Raw genomic sequence first — 16,040 nt, 5'->3', positions numbered from 1 at the left:
AATCTAAGTACAATCTAGTCTTGGGGTCAGGTGGGGTAGCCAGCCTAAATTTTGGGATTTTTGTTGTTGTTGTTGTTTGTTTGTTTTGAGACAGTTTAGCTCTTGTTGCCCAGGCTGGAGTGCAGTGGCGCGATCTTGGCTCACTGCAACCTCCACCTCCCAGGTTCAAACGATTCTCCTGCCTTGGCCTTCCAAAGTGCTGGGATTACAGGTGTGAGCCACCATGCCCGGCCTTTAATAGTTCTTAAAGTATCTATTTATTGAAAGGAGAGATGTCCATGATGTTAAGTAGAAAACGAAAGCTGACTACGTTAGGGCATAGATATGTTCATATGCTGGACCATGTTCACATGTGTATCAAAACATCACATTGTACATCTGAAATATATGCAATTTTAAAAGCTGAAAAAGAGTATATATTGTGATTTCTATTTTTTATATTAAAAGCATACAAGTTGTTTGTATAGAGAAAACATTCTGATGGACATATATCCAGCATGGTAACAGTGGCTATCACTGGGTGTGTTTTGGAGGCGATCCTTTTTTTCTTTTGTATTATTCACTAGCATTTTATTTCTATTTTGCAATGAGCATGTATTTTATAAACAGTAGAAATAAAACTATTTTTTAAAAGATGCCAATGTGAGAGGGTCAGGTAGATATTATTGGCCTCAATAGGTAGACTTTGGAGCCTGACAGATCAACAGTGACATGCAGCAAAGCACATAACACAGGGTGGTTCCTGATTGCAGGGCAGAGGGCGCTACTTTCTGCCTGACTTTTATCTCTCACCAGACGTTTGTGGTCATGTCTCCTCCTGCATTATATGGAAGTTAAAGGAATGTCAGAACCTGGTCTGCTAAATGGAGGATTGCTATGGGCTGAATTGTATCCTGCCCTTTCAAATTCATATGGTGAAGTCCTAACCTACAGTACTTCAGAATGTGGCCCTATTTGGAGATAGGGGCTTTATAGAGGTGCTTAAGTTAAGATGAGTTTATGAGGGTAGCCCCTAATCCAATCTGACTGGTGTCCTCTAAGGGAAATTTGGATACACAAAGAGATGCCAGGGATTAACCTACCCAGAGGAAAGGCCACGTGAGGACACAGCAAGAAGGTGGCCGTCTGCAAGCCGAGAGAGGCCTCAGAAGAAGCCAAACCTGCTGATACCTTGGACTTCCCAGCCTCCAGATTTGTGAGAAATAAACTACTGTTGTTTTAAGTCACCCAGTCTATGATATTTTGTTATAACAGCCCTAGCAAACTAATACAAGGATATTCATCATTCTATGTTTTTGTGCATTGAAATGCATAAATATTTCAGCCTCAATATTTTCACAGATGCTGTCTTTTTTGTTTTCATTCAGAGTAGCTTTCTTCAACAAATATTTCATAAGAACAACTTCATAATATAAATTGTCTCTATTTATGATTCCACATAATTATGGGCTTCCACAATTTCGTTTTATTCCAGTACAGAACATAAATTTATCTAATTAAAAATAGGTGCTTCAGCAAATGACTTATCCTGCAAGTTGAAATATTCTAAAATGCAATTACAGAATTTCAACATTAATATTGTATACTATTTGAGGGCTTATTGTTTAATTTGTTCAGTACTCACTGTGCTTATGAAAGGATAAATTTCAAGTTTCTCTGTTTGCAAATGATTTTTCCAATAACCGCATTTTGGTATTTCATTTGACAAATACTTTGATTAAAACTTTTTATAAGCATATGAAAACGTGCTCAATTTTATTATTCATCAGAAAAATACCAATTAAAACTCCAATGAGATACCACTACACACTAGAATGGGGAATCGTAAAGATTGACACTACCAAGTGTTGGCAAAGATAAGTTGCAACTGGAATTCTCAGACGTCGCTGGTAGGAACGCAAAATGGTATAGTACCTAGCGGCATGGCATTACATTATAAAGTTAGATTCATTACCACATGATCCAGAAATTCTACTTCCAGATTTCTACCAAGAGAAATAAAAACATATGTCCAACAAAAACATGAACATGATAGTGGGGTGTGGTGGTGGACACCTGTAATCCCAGCTACTCAGGAGGCTGATGCAGGAGAATCGCTTGGACCTAGGAGGTGGAGGTTGCAGTGAGCTGAGATCGCGCCACTACACTCCAGCCTGGGTGACAGAGTGGGACTCCATCTCAGAAAAAAACCCAAAAAACAAAAACCCACAAAACAACGTGTACATGAATGTTTATAGCAGCATTATTCATAACAGTCCCAACTGGAAACAACACAAATGTCCATCACTATTAGATGGATAAACAAAGTGTGATATATTCATACCACAGAAAACTATTCAGCAATACAAAGAAAGGACATAATACAGACAATAACATGGATACATCCTAAAAATATTATGTTAAGAGAAAGAGGTCAATCACAAAAGATTCCATACTATGTGAATCTACTCATGTGAAATTCTCTATCATGTAAAACCATAGGGACAGAGAGAGAATCAATGGTTGCCTGGCGCCAGGGTTAGGGGAGATAAGTGAATATATACAGGTATGAGAAAACTTTCTGGGGTGAAGAATTGCTCCATTTTTTGATTTGGTTAAATGATTAGACACAATAACCAAAATTTACCAACCCGGACGCTTAAAATTAGTATAAATAGGCCGGGCACAGTGGCTCACACCTGTAATCCCAGCACTTTGGGAGGCTGAGGCGGGTGGATCATGAAGTCAGGAGTTCAAGACTAGCCTGGCCAACATGGTGAAACCCCATCTCTACTAAGAATACAAAAATTAGCTGGGCACAGTGGCAGACACTTGTAATCCCACCTACTCGGGAGGCTAAGGCCAGAGAAGGGCTTGAACCGAGGAGGCAGAGGTTGCAGTGAGCCGAGGTCACGCCATTGCACTCTAGCCTAGGCAATACAGTGAGACTCTGTCTCAAAAAAAAATTAGTATAAATATTACCTTGATAAACAAAAAGGAGAAAGCAGTTTCCAACCAATTTTGAACAAATACAACCAAAATTAAGAGGACTAGTTTGTACAAAGTTCAGTACAATGGTTGAATATCTATATTGGTTTATAAAATAGATATTCAAAGGCTTAAACATTTTTAAACATCAGACTGATGACAGGTAGCAGACAGAAAACACATAATGCCATATTGAAGTATGTTTTTATATTCAATGTCAGCATTGTCACAAGATTTTGTAATCTAGTTATTCTGTGCATATGTAAAAATATTTGGCAATTACATTTTTTTTTTTTTGGGACATAGTCTTGCTCTGTTCCCCAGGCCGGAGTGCAATGGCGTGATCTCAGCTCACTGCAACCTCTGCCTCCTGGATTCAAGCGATTCTCCTGCCTCAGCCTCCTGAGTAGTTGGGATTACAGGCAGCTGCCACCACGCCCAGCTAATTTTTCTATTTTTAGTAGAGGCGGGGTTTCACCATGTTGGTCAGGCTGGTCTTGAACTCCTGACCTCAGGTGATCCACCCGCCTTAGCCTCCCAAAGTGCTGGGATTACAGGTGTTAGCCACCGTGCCCAGCCCGGCAATTACAGTTTCTTTTTGATAATTACAAGAATTATTTTTTGAGAGTTTGAATGCAGTTATAAATTATGTGCAGTTATAAATTATCCAAATGCAAGTAAATCTCTTTAGTAAGAACACTACTTTTTTCAAAATTTGTATGTATATTATCACCACAAAAATTCATCAGTTTTCTTTAGCATTGAAATTTTTATTTTTTTAAGCTGGAGTCTTACTCTATCACCCAGGCTGGAGTGCAGTGGCATGATCTCGACTCACTGCAGCCTCCACATCCCAGGTTCAAGCGATTCTCCTGCCTCAGCCTCCTGAGTAGCTGAGATTACAGACACACACCACTACTCTCAGCTATTTTTTTTTTTTTTTTTGTATTTTTAGTAAAGACGGGCAGGCTGGTTTTGAGCTCCTGACCTCAGGGGATCCACCCACCTCGGCCTCCCAAAGTGCAGGGATTACATGCGTGAGCTGCCAGGCCTGGCTTGAAAATTTTAATTTATTATAGAATAACAGTCATAATAATTTCATACATTAAACCTTCAAGAGAATAAACTTCAAAAGCTTTACTTTGATCCTACGCACTGGGTGGAAAAAATTAAATAACTATTGGACTGAACTGGTTTTCTATTTGAAGCTGTTGGCAATGATATACAATTAGCACCACTCAACTGTAAAGTTTTTCTTCATCATGTATACTGCTATCACTTTTTCTATACACACAAGAAAAAATGAGGGAAAACGAGCAAAAATATGAATGTTGTTTGATCTAAAAGTCATGTGTCATACAGTGACAGATAAATCCACCTTTTGCAGCTACACATGTTAATGGTCAACTTTAGGCACAGACTTAAAATAACTTCTAGTTTTAAAAACAGATGCTGATGTTTCTTCAAAAATTTGTATTTATGACCAGGCATGATGGCTCACACCTGTAATCCCTGCACTTTGGGAGGCCAAGGCGGAGTGATCACTTAACTCAGGAGTTTGAGACCAGCCTGAAAAAAAAAGAAAAAAAAAATAGCCAGGCACAGTGGCACACACCTGTGGTCCCAGCTACATGGGAGACTAACGCAGGAGGATCACTTGGGCCTGGGAGGTCAAGGCTGCAGTGAGCTGTGTTCATACCACTGCACTCCAGACTGGGTGACAAGAGTGACACCTTGCCTCAAAACAAAAACAAAAACAAAACCCGAAATACTTTTGTATTTATTCATATTATCAGTGATATAATTACAGCCCTCATGATGATGTAAATGTTGACACGTTATGTGCAAGTATCCTATCATCATTAACTTCCTTAGTTAACAGATACTCATTACTTAATTTTTCATTAAATACACACTTTGTAATTCTCAAAGGGGTCAGGAAAAGGAATGGATTATTGGTCATTCTTCAGAATTAAGGGGAGAGTCGTCTTTGCTAGCTATGCGTCTCATGACTACTAGATGAGATCATGAAAGAAGCCAGAAGTACAATGTGGAGGTCTTCCAAACCCATCCCAGTTTATCCTTTTAGTAAGGTAAAGTTTTAGTGAGGTGAAATGCAAAGATTTTAAGTGTATTCCTCATAGAGTTTTAACAAAGGTATATGCCCATGTAACCCATATTCATATAAAGTGTAGAATGTTCTCGTTACTCCAGAAAGTTCCTTCACTTCCCCTTCCAGTTAATTTCTACCCGTACAGGTGACCTGTGTTTTTGCTTTTGTTTTTTCGAGATAGGGTTTCACTCTGTTCCCAGGCTGGAGTACAGTGGCATGATCTCGGCTCACTGCAATCTCAACCTCCCAAATCTCAGGTGATCCTCCTGCCTTAGCCCCCCAAGTAGCTGGGATTACAGGTGCATGTCACCATGCCCGGCTAGTTTTTGTATTTTTAGTAGAGACAGGGTTTACCCATGTTGCCCAGGCTGGTCTTGAACTCCTGGGCTCAAACGATCCACCTGCCTTGGCTTTCCAAAGTACTGGGATTATAGACATGAGTCACTGTGCCCGGCCTATAGGTGACTCGTGTTCTGATTTCTATTGCCACGCATTTGTTTTGCTTGTTTAAAAACTGTATAAAAATGGAATTATACAATATAAATTCTTGTGAGTTGGGTTTCTTTATCTCAACAATATGAAGTAAGATTCAACTACAATATTGCATGTATCAATACAGTAGTTTGTCCTATTTTCTTTTTCTTTTTTTGAGACAGAGTCTCGCTCTGTCACCCAGGCTGGAGTGCAGTGGCATGATCTCGGCTCACTGCAACCTCCACCTCCCAGGTTCAAGTGATTCTCCTGCCTCAGCCTCCTGAGTAGCTGGGATTACAGGCCCATGCCATCATGGCCAGCTAATTTTTGTATTTTTAGTAGAGACGGGGTTTCACCATGTTGGTCAGGCTGCTCTCGAACTCCTGACCTCATGATCTGCCCGCCTTGGCCTCCCAAAGTGCTAGGATTACAGGCGTAAGTCACTGCACCCAGCCTTTCTTTTTCTTTTTTGACATGGAGTCTCACTCTGTTGCCCAGGCTGCAGTGGCATGATCTCGGCTCACTGCAGCCTCTGCCTCCTGGGTTCAAGCAATTCTCCTGCTTCAGCCCCCCAAGTAGCTGGAATTACAGGCATGCACCACTACACCTGGCTAATTTTTGTATTTTTTTTTCAGTAGAGACGGGGTTTCACTGTGTTGGCCAGGCTGGTCTTGAACTCCTGTCCTCAAGTGATCTGCCCACTTCGGCCTCCCAAAGTGCTGGGATTACAGGCATGAGCCACTGCGCCTGGGCCTCTTTTTCTAATTTTTAAACTGCCGAGTGGTATTCTGTTCCATGCATCTATCACAATTTATTTATCCATTTTCCTACTGATGGATGTTTTTCTTCAGTGGTTAATGCTTTCTGTGTCCTGTCTAAAAAGAGTCATTTTCTTAAAAGTGTTGTTGGATGAGCATAAATTTTAAATTTTGATGGAGTCTAGGGTATCAATTTTTTTTTTTTTACAGTTAGTGCTTTTGTGTTCTTTCTAAGAAATCTTTGCTTATCCCAAGGTTGCAAAGACATTGTTCTATGTTATTTTCTACAAGCATTATAGTTCTAGCTTTTATACTTAGAAGAATGATCTATCTCAAATCACTGTTTATGAGTAATGTGAGGTAAGAATTGGAATGGTTAATTTTTATGTACATTAGGCAACTTTTTTGAGCCTAATTTACCCCCTCTACAAAGTGATTAAAGGCTAACTCAGAGTAGAATTGAATAAAATACATAAGTTATTAATATTAGCATTTAGCACAGAGTAGGTGTAGAGTAATGTAGTTCAGTAAAGATCATCTTATATTTTTGTGGATCTCTTGAATGTCCTACAAATAGTCCTGCCCATTTTGTCGTGGTCCTTTTAATGTGTAACACCCTCAATTAACATGAACACAAGTAATCAAAACTGGCACTTTATGTAAATTCCAATAACTCTTTGAGCAAGTATGATCTTCATTTTGAAGATGATTAAACCGGCTGAGAAAACATAAATAACTTGCCCAAGGAAACAGCTGGTAAGTGGTAAGTGGTATTCCAAATTAGTTCCAAGTTCAAAGCTCACATCATATTTACCACATTCCTTTGATTTTGAGACAGCATCTTACTCTGTCACCCAGGCTAGAGTGCGGTGTGTCATCATAGCTCACTGCAGCCTCAACTGCCTGGGCTCAAGCGATCCTCCCACCTCCACCTCTGGAGTATCTGGGACTACAGGCATGCACCACGACACCTGGCTAATGCCTTTGACCTCTTCATTGGGCCTGACATTCGTGTTAACACGGTCCTTTGGAGTCATCTGGACGTGTTGTGACTAGCACTTAGAGATAACCCTCATTTTCAGCCTGTTTGAAACATTGTTTTCCTGGTGCATCTTCTACCACTATCACGATGCTCTGTCAGCAGTCTGCAAATAAGCCTCGCGTATTTTCCCCGCACCTTAGTCTTCTCCCTTTGGTCACACTCCCCTCTGCTATCCATCCATGATTCACACCCAGGGAAGTACAGCCCTCCAGGGAGGGGGTATTTTGGACCTGCTGCACTTAGTGGACAGGGTTCAGGGATTCTGAACATCATACCGTGCAAGCAGCAGACCCACAAAAGGAGTCCTTCAGCCTAGTAGGCCAATAGTACACCTCCCCCCAATCCCCCCATGTTTGGCTAAATCCTAACTGTCTTTAGGGACCCATTTTCCTCTGTGAGGCTTTCTCTGCCCAGCGAGGCTCCAAGTCATCTCTGCCTCTTGAATGACTATCTGCTAACACCATCTCTGCTGCTCCTATAGAGATTTCAGTCCTATGTTCCCTGGTTTCCTTCTCTTCTGGGTGCCTTCCTGTTGAAACACATTGAATGCACTCTGGCTTCAGAAAGCAAGTCTGCTACTCCCCTATCTAGCACTTCATGAGCACAATGCTTCATTTGCTCAGTCATTCAGTCAAAAAATGATTTAAAAAGGCCTCAATCAGTAGAGCTGTAGGAATTTATTCAGGGGTTGTAGGCAGAGAGACGTGAACAGTGGCCTTTCTACAGAATGAGTATAAATATGTACGCTATTGATGCCTGTGAGAGACCTGGGGGCAGGGACAGATGCAGGGGAAGGCTTCAGCCATGGCTGACCCTTGCCTAGAACTCAAGGCAGCAACAGAGATATGAGAGAGCCGAAACCACCTGTCAGCACTCAATTCTGCACTGGCAGTCCCTGTGATTCATGCACCAGGCCATTAATTCAGTAAGAAGCCGCTCAATGGGCAGATGAACAAAAACAGGAGGCCCTTCTGAGAGTCATAAATTCACTCTCCTAACAGCTTTATATACTTGAAAGTGAAGGGTATTCCAGGAGCATGTGAAAACGACTCAGAGACTCAGTTTCTAACAGAAAACCAGGAAATTCTATTCTACTGCTAACAAATTGAGGACTTACTTTGTCAAGGTGGCTAGGTTGGTACAGAGATGAAAAGCCAGGGCTTAATCTTTCAGGAGTTCAAAAACTGGTAAGAGTTCTCCCATTCTACTTTTTCCTCCTTCACCTCCATATCTAATCCTAAGAACTATTCCCTTAATACCCTTGTATTAGTCCGTTTTCACACTGCTATAAAGAACTTTCCGAGACTGGGTAATTTATAAAGGAAAGAGCTTTAATTGACTCACAGTTTCCTATGGCTGGGGAGGCCTCAGGAAACTTACAATCATGGCAGAAGGGGAAGTAGGCACATCTTACATGGCAACTGGCGAGAGAGGGTGTGTCAGTGCAGGAGAAACTACCATTTATAAAACCATCAGACCTCATGAGAATCCACTCACTATCACAAGCACAGCACGGGGGAAACCCCCCCCCCCCCATAATCCACTCACTACCCACCAGATCTCCCCCTAAACACCCGGGGATTACAATTCAAGATGGGATTTGGGTGAGGACACAAAACCTAACCATATCAACCCTCTCCAGACTCTCTCCTCTTCTTCACCCCTCTGCAGCTGCCAGGCTTTCCTAATGTCTGCATGGATGGTCTCAACACTCCTTACCTGGTTTCTCTCACTACCCCTGCCACATATTCTGTTTCACCATCACACACCGGCAGATTCATGTTTCCAAAAAAGCAATCTGATCCTATCACTCAGTAACTGATATAAAGCCCTTTACTGATGCTCTGTTGTTTTAAGGAGAAAATTCAAACCCCTTACCAAAGCCCTTCCCCTTCATGGCTCTGTTTGCCTATCCGGCCTTTCCTCAATTTAAGTCTCCAGTCCAGACAAAGTGACTCTCTGGCTGGTTCCCAGACATCTCTGCTCCTGCTGCTGCTTCCTCCCACCATGTGTCCCAGTCCCTACTTCTGCTAACTGTGCTTTCAAGATGCAGCCTGGGCGCTATCTCCTCCTCTTCCCACTCTTGGCCCTGAGTGAAGGTTGCCTCCTACGTGTGCTTCCACCACCCCTACCCATTCTCACTTGTCACATGCACCATATTTGACTCCTTGCTCTTCTCTCCTAGGTGACTTTGATTTTTTCAACTGAACTTCAAGAACTAGATCTGATTCATTGTTGACTGCTCAGCATCTAGTAGAGCACCTGGCACCTGCTAGGTACATTATAAGTGTTTGCTGAATGTATTTGAATGAGTGCCTATGCAAGGTCATAATAAATAAGACAAGAATGGCTTATTCAGAGATGACTGTAATGCACATTTATCTCTCCATGGTCCCTGGGTTGCTTCTAATACTGCGCTTGGAAAAGTTGTGATGGATAATTGAATGCCTCATTGTTCTTGAATGATGTATGGGAGTGGTATGATCTTAGAAAAGAGACAAGGTTTGTTATCTTTGGGGAAATCAAAATACACATCTCCAATATAATTCTGTCTCACAAATGATACAAACATTCATGTTCAAAGTAATATACACATCAAAGACCTATAATGTTGTAGGTTGAATACTTTGGTTAAGTACTTGAGTTTAAAACATCATGTTTATCTTATTATTTTTTTAAAATGTTTTTACTTTTCTTTTTTTTAAACAGAGATGGGGTTTCACCATGTTGGCCAGGCTGGTCTTGAACTCCTGGCCTGGGATCTGCCTGCCTTGGCTTCCCAAAGTGCTGGGATTACAGGTGTGAGTCAGTATGCCTGACTGAAACATCATGATTTTATTAAGCGAACTGCCTTGATTTTGAAACAGTTTTACTTATTTGGTGGCTGCAGACATCTTTTGGTATGTGGCTGCCACTCTCTATCTTTGTCTTCACATGACCTTCTCCTCTTCTGCTCTCATAAGGATACGCCATTGGATTTAGGTAATGACCTAGGTAATCCAGAATGATCTCATCTTGTGATACTTAATTACATCCACAAAGACTCTTTTTTCAAATAGAGTCACATTCATAGGCTCTAGAGATTAGGGGTGACCATATTTTTGTGGGGGAGGGGTAGCACAATTCACTCCGTTATCAAAAATACATTTATAAAAGCCATTGGGATGCAATTCCAGGAGTTTTCAATGATCATTTTATCTTACTTATAAATTACTATTTTGAAGTGCTCCAGAGGGGTCTTACTTCCTCAATTTGGAAGGGGCTGCTACTGGATGAGCATTGAGTATTAATACTGCATGGGGACGCCACCTACTGGTTGCTAAGATTCACAACTGGTAGACCTTGGAGGTCACACTGAGAGTAGAATAACATGTATGAGCACAGTTAATAAACTTGATTACATGAAACCACATTTATTATTAGCACATTGAAAATATAGAATGGCTATTCAAATACAGCTCCCTTCCCTCTCTGAGCCTCAGTTTCTTTACCTGCAAAGGTGAAGATTTCCTCACTCATTCCTTCATTTATTAAAACACAATTATTTGGGCATCCATCAGGTGATAGTGGCTGGGGCTGCAATAAGCCTCTTACAGATTATTCCTTTTCATAGGTTTGTTGTATGGATTAAATGTAATAATTCAAATAAAGGGTCTGGTGCAGTAATTATTGTTAACCTTAAATTATATTTGATCCAAATATCTAATTAGAGTGGCCTGCCTTGACACTGGGTCTTACTTGTTGAAGATCTCTAGCTCTATTGTTTTTTCTTTTTTAAAAAACTAAAAACAAATTTTTTTTAGAGACGAAGGCTCACTATATTGCCTAGGCTGTACTTGAACTCCTGGGCACAAGGGATCTTCCTGTCTCAGACTCCCAAGCAGCTGAGACTATAGGTTTCAGCTTTTTCTTTTCTTTTTTTTTTTTTTTGAATACTTGTTAGCTCTTACTCTCTTCTCTTCCCTCTGGCCTGCAGAAGTTACACAGCACCTCATCTAGTTCAGTTAACTCTTTGGATGTGAACCAATTATCGAGTACCATGAATTTCAAAGCAAAAGGAGAGAATGGGTCTGGTAATAACCTTTCCTTTTCCTCCTTCCACCCCATTCTAAATTCCCCTTAGTTAGTGCCATCTAGAAGAGGCCCTTCAATCTGTCAACACTATTTAATATCTTTTACACATTGGATAATATACTAAATGTTGAATATACAAAAACAATGAACTCTAGTCCTTGAGGCGAAGGTCTTCCAAATGCAAGTCCTAAAAATGGACCAGGCAGAACTCAGTGTCTCCAAGAGTGCAAGAAGGATGTTTTTCATTGAATGGTTGAAGCAGTGTTTGGAGAAACACAGATCTCATGATTTTTATAAATTCAAATGCAACACAGAGTCACATGGGCATAGAATTTTCCTGGATGTCTGAATAATCTGCCAACCAGCTTTTTGCCTCCTTCTGTGTTTTTACTTCACCTGGATATCTCCTAACATCCTGAGACGGAAATGTTTCTAAGCTATAAAGAATGTCTTGGAATGTCTTTTTCAAAAGTACATTTTTCAACATTCAAGGAATTTCAAGAAATGTACTATTTGCCTAAGGGTAGATGATTTAAAAGGTCTCTTTTGTGATGCCTTCAAATAAGTTGGTGATTGGAAAGCTGATACATGAGTAGAAGGCATTATTATTCTACATTGATGTTTCAGAGGAGGAAGGCAGTTAGGGGAATATTTTCCTCCCTAACATTTTATCCCTGCTGAAATAAGTCAAAATGCCCAATGTTCTTTGTATTCAAAGGTGACACAGGTACCAGCATGACTGTCAGCTGCTGTCAATCCTTGGCTTTTGGAAGCAATGTCACGGCGCTTTAACTTGCTTTTCAGTTTGCTCAGCATGTCTTTGAAGCATCACCTTTACTCATCTCTTCCAAGGCTCACTGTTAACCACATTGCACTATTTCAGCAGGAAATCAGCTAAATACTTAAAAGCTAGTGGGCCAGCCTCCTTCTTGTTGTGATATAAGCCTGTTTTTCAAAGAGCAGTCCTCAGAGAGACAGCGTCAACATGCCCTGGGTGCATGTGACACTGCAGATTCCTGGACCTTGTCCCCAGACCAACAGATTCAGAAACTCTGGGAAAAGATCAGGAAATGTGCATTTTAAACAAATGCCCCTGGTGATTCCTCTGCAATGATGGTTAAGACCTTTGAGTTGAGGGCTTTTGCAGTCACCAACTATAGTTTTGTTGAGCCTGTGTATTCATTTACACATGGGGACATCAACAGTCTGCAGAAGCCAGTTCCCAGAAATACACCTGAGTATCTGCACAAAAGGGAGGTCTGTTCACATGATTCAAATCTTCCCAGAAGACTCTCTGATCCTTACATATATTATGGCTTATATTTGGAAAATGTCCCGCTTGCAATCAAGTATACCTTTCTAAATGGCTACGTAGATCCTGAATAAAGAGAACACATCAAATTCAAAACGCTAACATATGTTGAAAGAAGAGGAGCTTGAGTAGTGAGAATAGAATTCTAACCTTCAACAGAAAGGGGGAGAATATCCTTAGGTTGGCTGATACACAGGCAAGAACTATTTCTGGTATATGTTGAGAAAATAAAAATAAGTACAACATGTTGAGCATCCTTTTTAAACAGGCAGACGCCCAGCCATGCCCAGGGCAGGTTACACTTCCTTTTCTGGCTGCCTAGATACAGTGCCACTGGCTCAGGGCTCCATTTCCATCTGCATTGATTCTACAACCACAGATAGCACTTCTGCCCGGTAATTAAAATTTTTTTTTTTTTTCTGAGACAGGGTCTTGCTCTGTCACCCAGGCTGGGGTGCAGTGGCGCGATGTCGGCCCACTGCAACCTCCATCTCCTAGGTTCAAGTGATTCTGCCGCCTCAGCCTTCCTAACAGGTGCCCACCAACACACCCAGCTAATTTTTTTGAATTTTTATTAGAGATGGGGTTTCGCCATACTGGCCAGGCTGGTCTCAAACTCCTGACCTCAGGTGATCCGCCCATCTTGTCCTCCCAAAGTACTGGGATTACAGGTGTGAGCCACTGCACCTGGCCAATGTTTTTTTTAACTTTTGATTTTTGAGAAATTTATAGTTTTGCAGGAAATTGCTATCTATATGTATTCCATATACCCTGCACCTAGCTGCCCCAATAGTAACATCTGGCACAACTACAGTACAGGAACAAAGCCAGGAAATTGCTTATTGGTACAATCTACAGAGTGTATTCAGATTTGATCATTTTTATATACTGTGTGTGTGTGTGTGTGTGTGTGTGCAGCTCTGTGCAATTGTATCACATGTATAGATTAATATAGCCACTACACAACTGAGCTACAGAATTGTTCCATTACCACAAGGCTCCCTTCACAGCCATACCTCGCCCCTTCCACCCATCCCTAACCCCAGCAATGGCTAATCTGTTCTTCATCTCTGTGATATTCCACAATTATTTTGAATAGCATTTTAAAGCCTTGAGGCAACTTCCAAACGTGTTGAGCTTCCTGCCTGGACTGTCCAAGTTGTCTCTCTCAAGGTACCAATACTGTTTTGTTAGTGTTCTAGTTACAAAGCTGCATAAATTTTTTAGTGGTCTGACTATAATCCTGATATTCCTGAAAGCAGTCTTTTTAATGTTCGCTTTTGCTGAGTGTGTGTTTTTCAGTAACATCTATTTTGCATCACTGCAGAAATATTTGTACAGTGGCTGAAACAACAGAGGTTCATTTATTTCACTCACAGAAGAGTCAAAGGAAGATGTTCTGTCTGGCAAGCATTTTTTTTTGCAGTATTCTTGTCATAAACTTTCAAACCAGCTGGGTGCAGTGGCTCACACCTGTAATCCCAGCACTTTAGGAGGCTGAAGCGGATGGATTGCTTGAGCTCAGGAGTTCAAGACCAGCCTGGGCAACATGACAAAACCCTGTCTCTACTAAAAATACAAAAAATTAGCCGGGCGTGGTGGCTTGCACCTATAGTCCCAGCTACTTGTGGGGCTGAGGCAGGAGGATGGCTTGAACCCAGGTGGTCGAGGCTTCAGTGAGCCAAGATGATGCCACTGCACTCCAGCCTGGTGACAAAGTGAGACCCTGTCTCAAAAACAAACAAAAAAACCCACAAAAATAAGACATAAACTTTCAAACATGTTCTTTGTTATCATCAACTTTAAACCTAAACCTAATATCACTTTTAAAAATTACACAGTACAATCTGTATTATTTCATTTTAACAGATTACCATCAGTCATCATTAAAGAGCATTTCCAAACCATTTAGATTTTAAGACATTTCTAGATGTGATGATGACTGCATTTTATAGAACGTGTCTGTCTCATTACCACCACCACACATGGCTTTCTCCATTCTTAGAGATTCCTTTTATGCAGAGGCTACTCTCCTGGCTCTCTCCAGCCCATCTCTTACTCCCGTCCTTTCCCCCAACCAGTCCTTTTTTCTTCCTTCTTTTTGGGGAAGGCAGGGTGAGACTGCCCTGGACCACAACTGATAATGGATAAATCTGGCTAATTCTGAATGCTATAGAGGAAGCTCATTTGGCAATGTCTCTTAGCCTTTAACAGTGATAAAGATGATATCTTGGCCTCTATCTGCGTTATCGTTTGTCTTATTTCTTAATTGGTTCAAAATCTGGATGGGGAAAGCAATTTTTATTTACTGGGGTCCACTCAAAGTTCCCAAGAAAACACACACACACACACAAACACACACACACAGTTTTGTGATGATACAATTCAAAGGATAAAGGTGGCTTTTGTTTGTTTTACTAATGCAATGGTAGGGAGCAGGTGGAAACGAAGGGATGTTGAAGCAGCTAAAGAAGTTTTTTAAAAAAATCTAAGCAGAGTGCAAAGAATGACGTGAGTGCTCAATGTGGATTCTGTTTTTAGGATAGGATAGTGCCTCTCAAACTGTGATCACGCCAAAGAAATACCTGGGGATGTTGAAATTCCTATTATGATCACTAGATCTAGAGTGGGGCCCAACTTCCATGTTTCCAATAAGCTCCAGGTGATGCTGATGCCTCCGGTCCACAGACAGCACCTAGAGCTACAAGGCTGTAAGACATCATGAATCACTACCTTTTGCAGGCAGTAATCACTCGTCAACCTATTTATTTATTATTATTTTCTGTGAGGAGGAGGAAGAGAGGAAGGAAGAAGGGAAAAGTAGAGAAAAGGAGAGAAAAAAAGGAAGGGAAAAAGGAAGGGGAGCTCGACCTATTTATCTTGAAGCAAATTTATGCAAATAGTTATTTTGCTCAATCAAATATTTAGAATGCTCCAGTTTCCTAAATGCACATCGATCTGGATAGCATTTCATACCTGCCTATGTCACTCATCTGCCCCCACTTCTCATGCTCACCCCCCAATTTTCAGCAAGCTTTTACTTCTTTCACAACCCATCCCAAAATGTAATGGCTTAAAATGACTACCATTTATTTTGGTCACAGTTCTATGGGTTACAGTTTGAACAGGGCTCAACTGGGCCATTCTATTGGTCTTGACTGGGCTTGCGTGTGAATCTATAGGCAGCTGCAGAGAGCTGGATTGCCATGTCTCTGGCAGTGCCGGCTGTTGACTGGGATGTTGGAGAGGACTGGGCCACGTGTTTCACAGCATCCACCTGGCTAGAGTAGGCTTGTTCAC

General features: G+C 41.1%; 2 long non-coding RNA genes across 8 annotated transcripts in view, besides 1 other annotated feature; one reads left to right on the top strand and one right to left on the bottom strand.

Annotated features, from left to right (window-relative positions):
* Window positions 1-1,226, top strand: part of LOC105374535 (uncharacterized) — a 43,715-nt gene extending 42,489 nt beyond the window's left edge. For all 7 annotated transcript variants that reach the window (XR_007058086.1, XR_925490.3, XR_001741626.2 and 4 more), the window contains one exon: window positions 1,042-1,226. This is a non-coding gene — a long non-coding RNA (uncharacterized LOC105374535). The remainder of the gene's footprint in view (window positions 1-1,041) is intronic.
* The window catches only part of SEPSECS-DT (SEPSECS divergent transcript), a 37,835-nt gene that overhangs the window by 7,130 nt on the left and 14,665 nt on the right, over window positions 1-16,040 (bottom strand). The gene's annotated exons all lie outside the window — the stretch shown is intronic.
* Window positions 10,542-10,611: an enhancer, noted in NCBI's record as "active region_21371". NCBI's record gives its function as "activates an Ori minimal core promoter by ATAC-STARR-seq in GM12878 lymphoblastoid cells {active_cell/tissue: GM12878}" and the evidence as "EXISTENCE:reporter gene assay evidence [ECO:0000049][PMID:35858748]".

Source organism: Homo sapiens, chromosome 4 (genome assembly GCF_000001405.40).
Source record: "Homo sapiens chromosome 4, GRCh38.p14 Primary Assembly".
NCBI lineage: Eukaryota > Metazoa > Chordata > Mammalia > Primates > Hominidae > Homo > Homo sapiens.
This window is presented reverse-complemented; position numbering and strand designations above follow the sequence as displayed.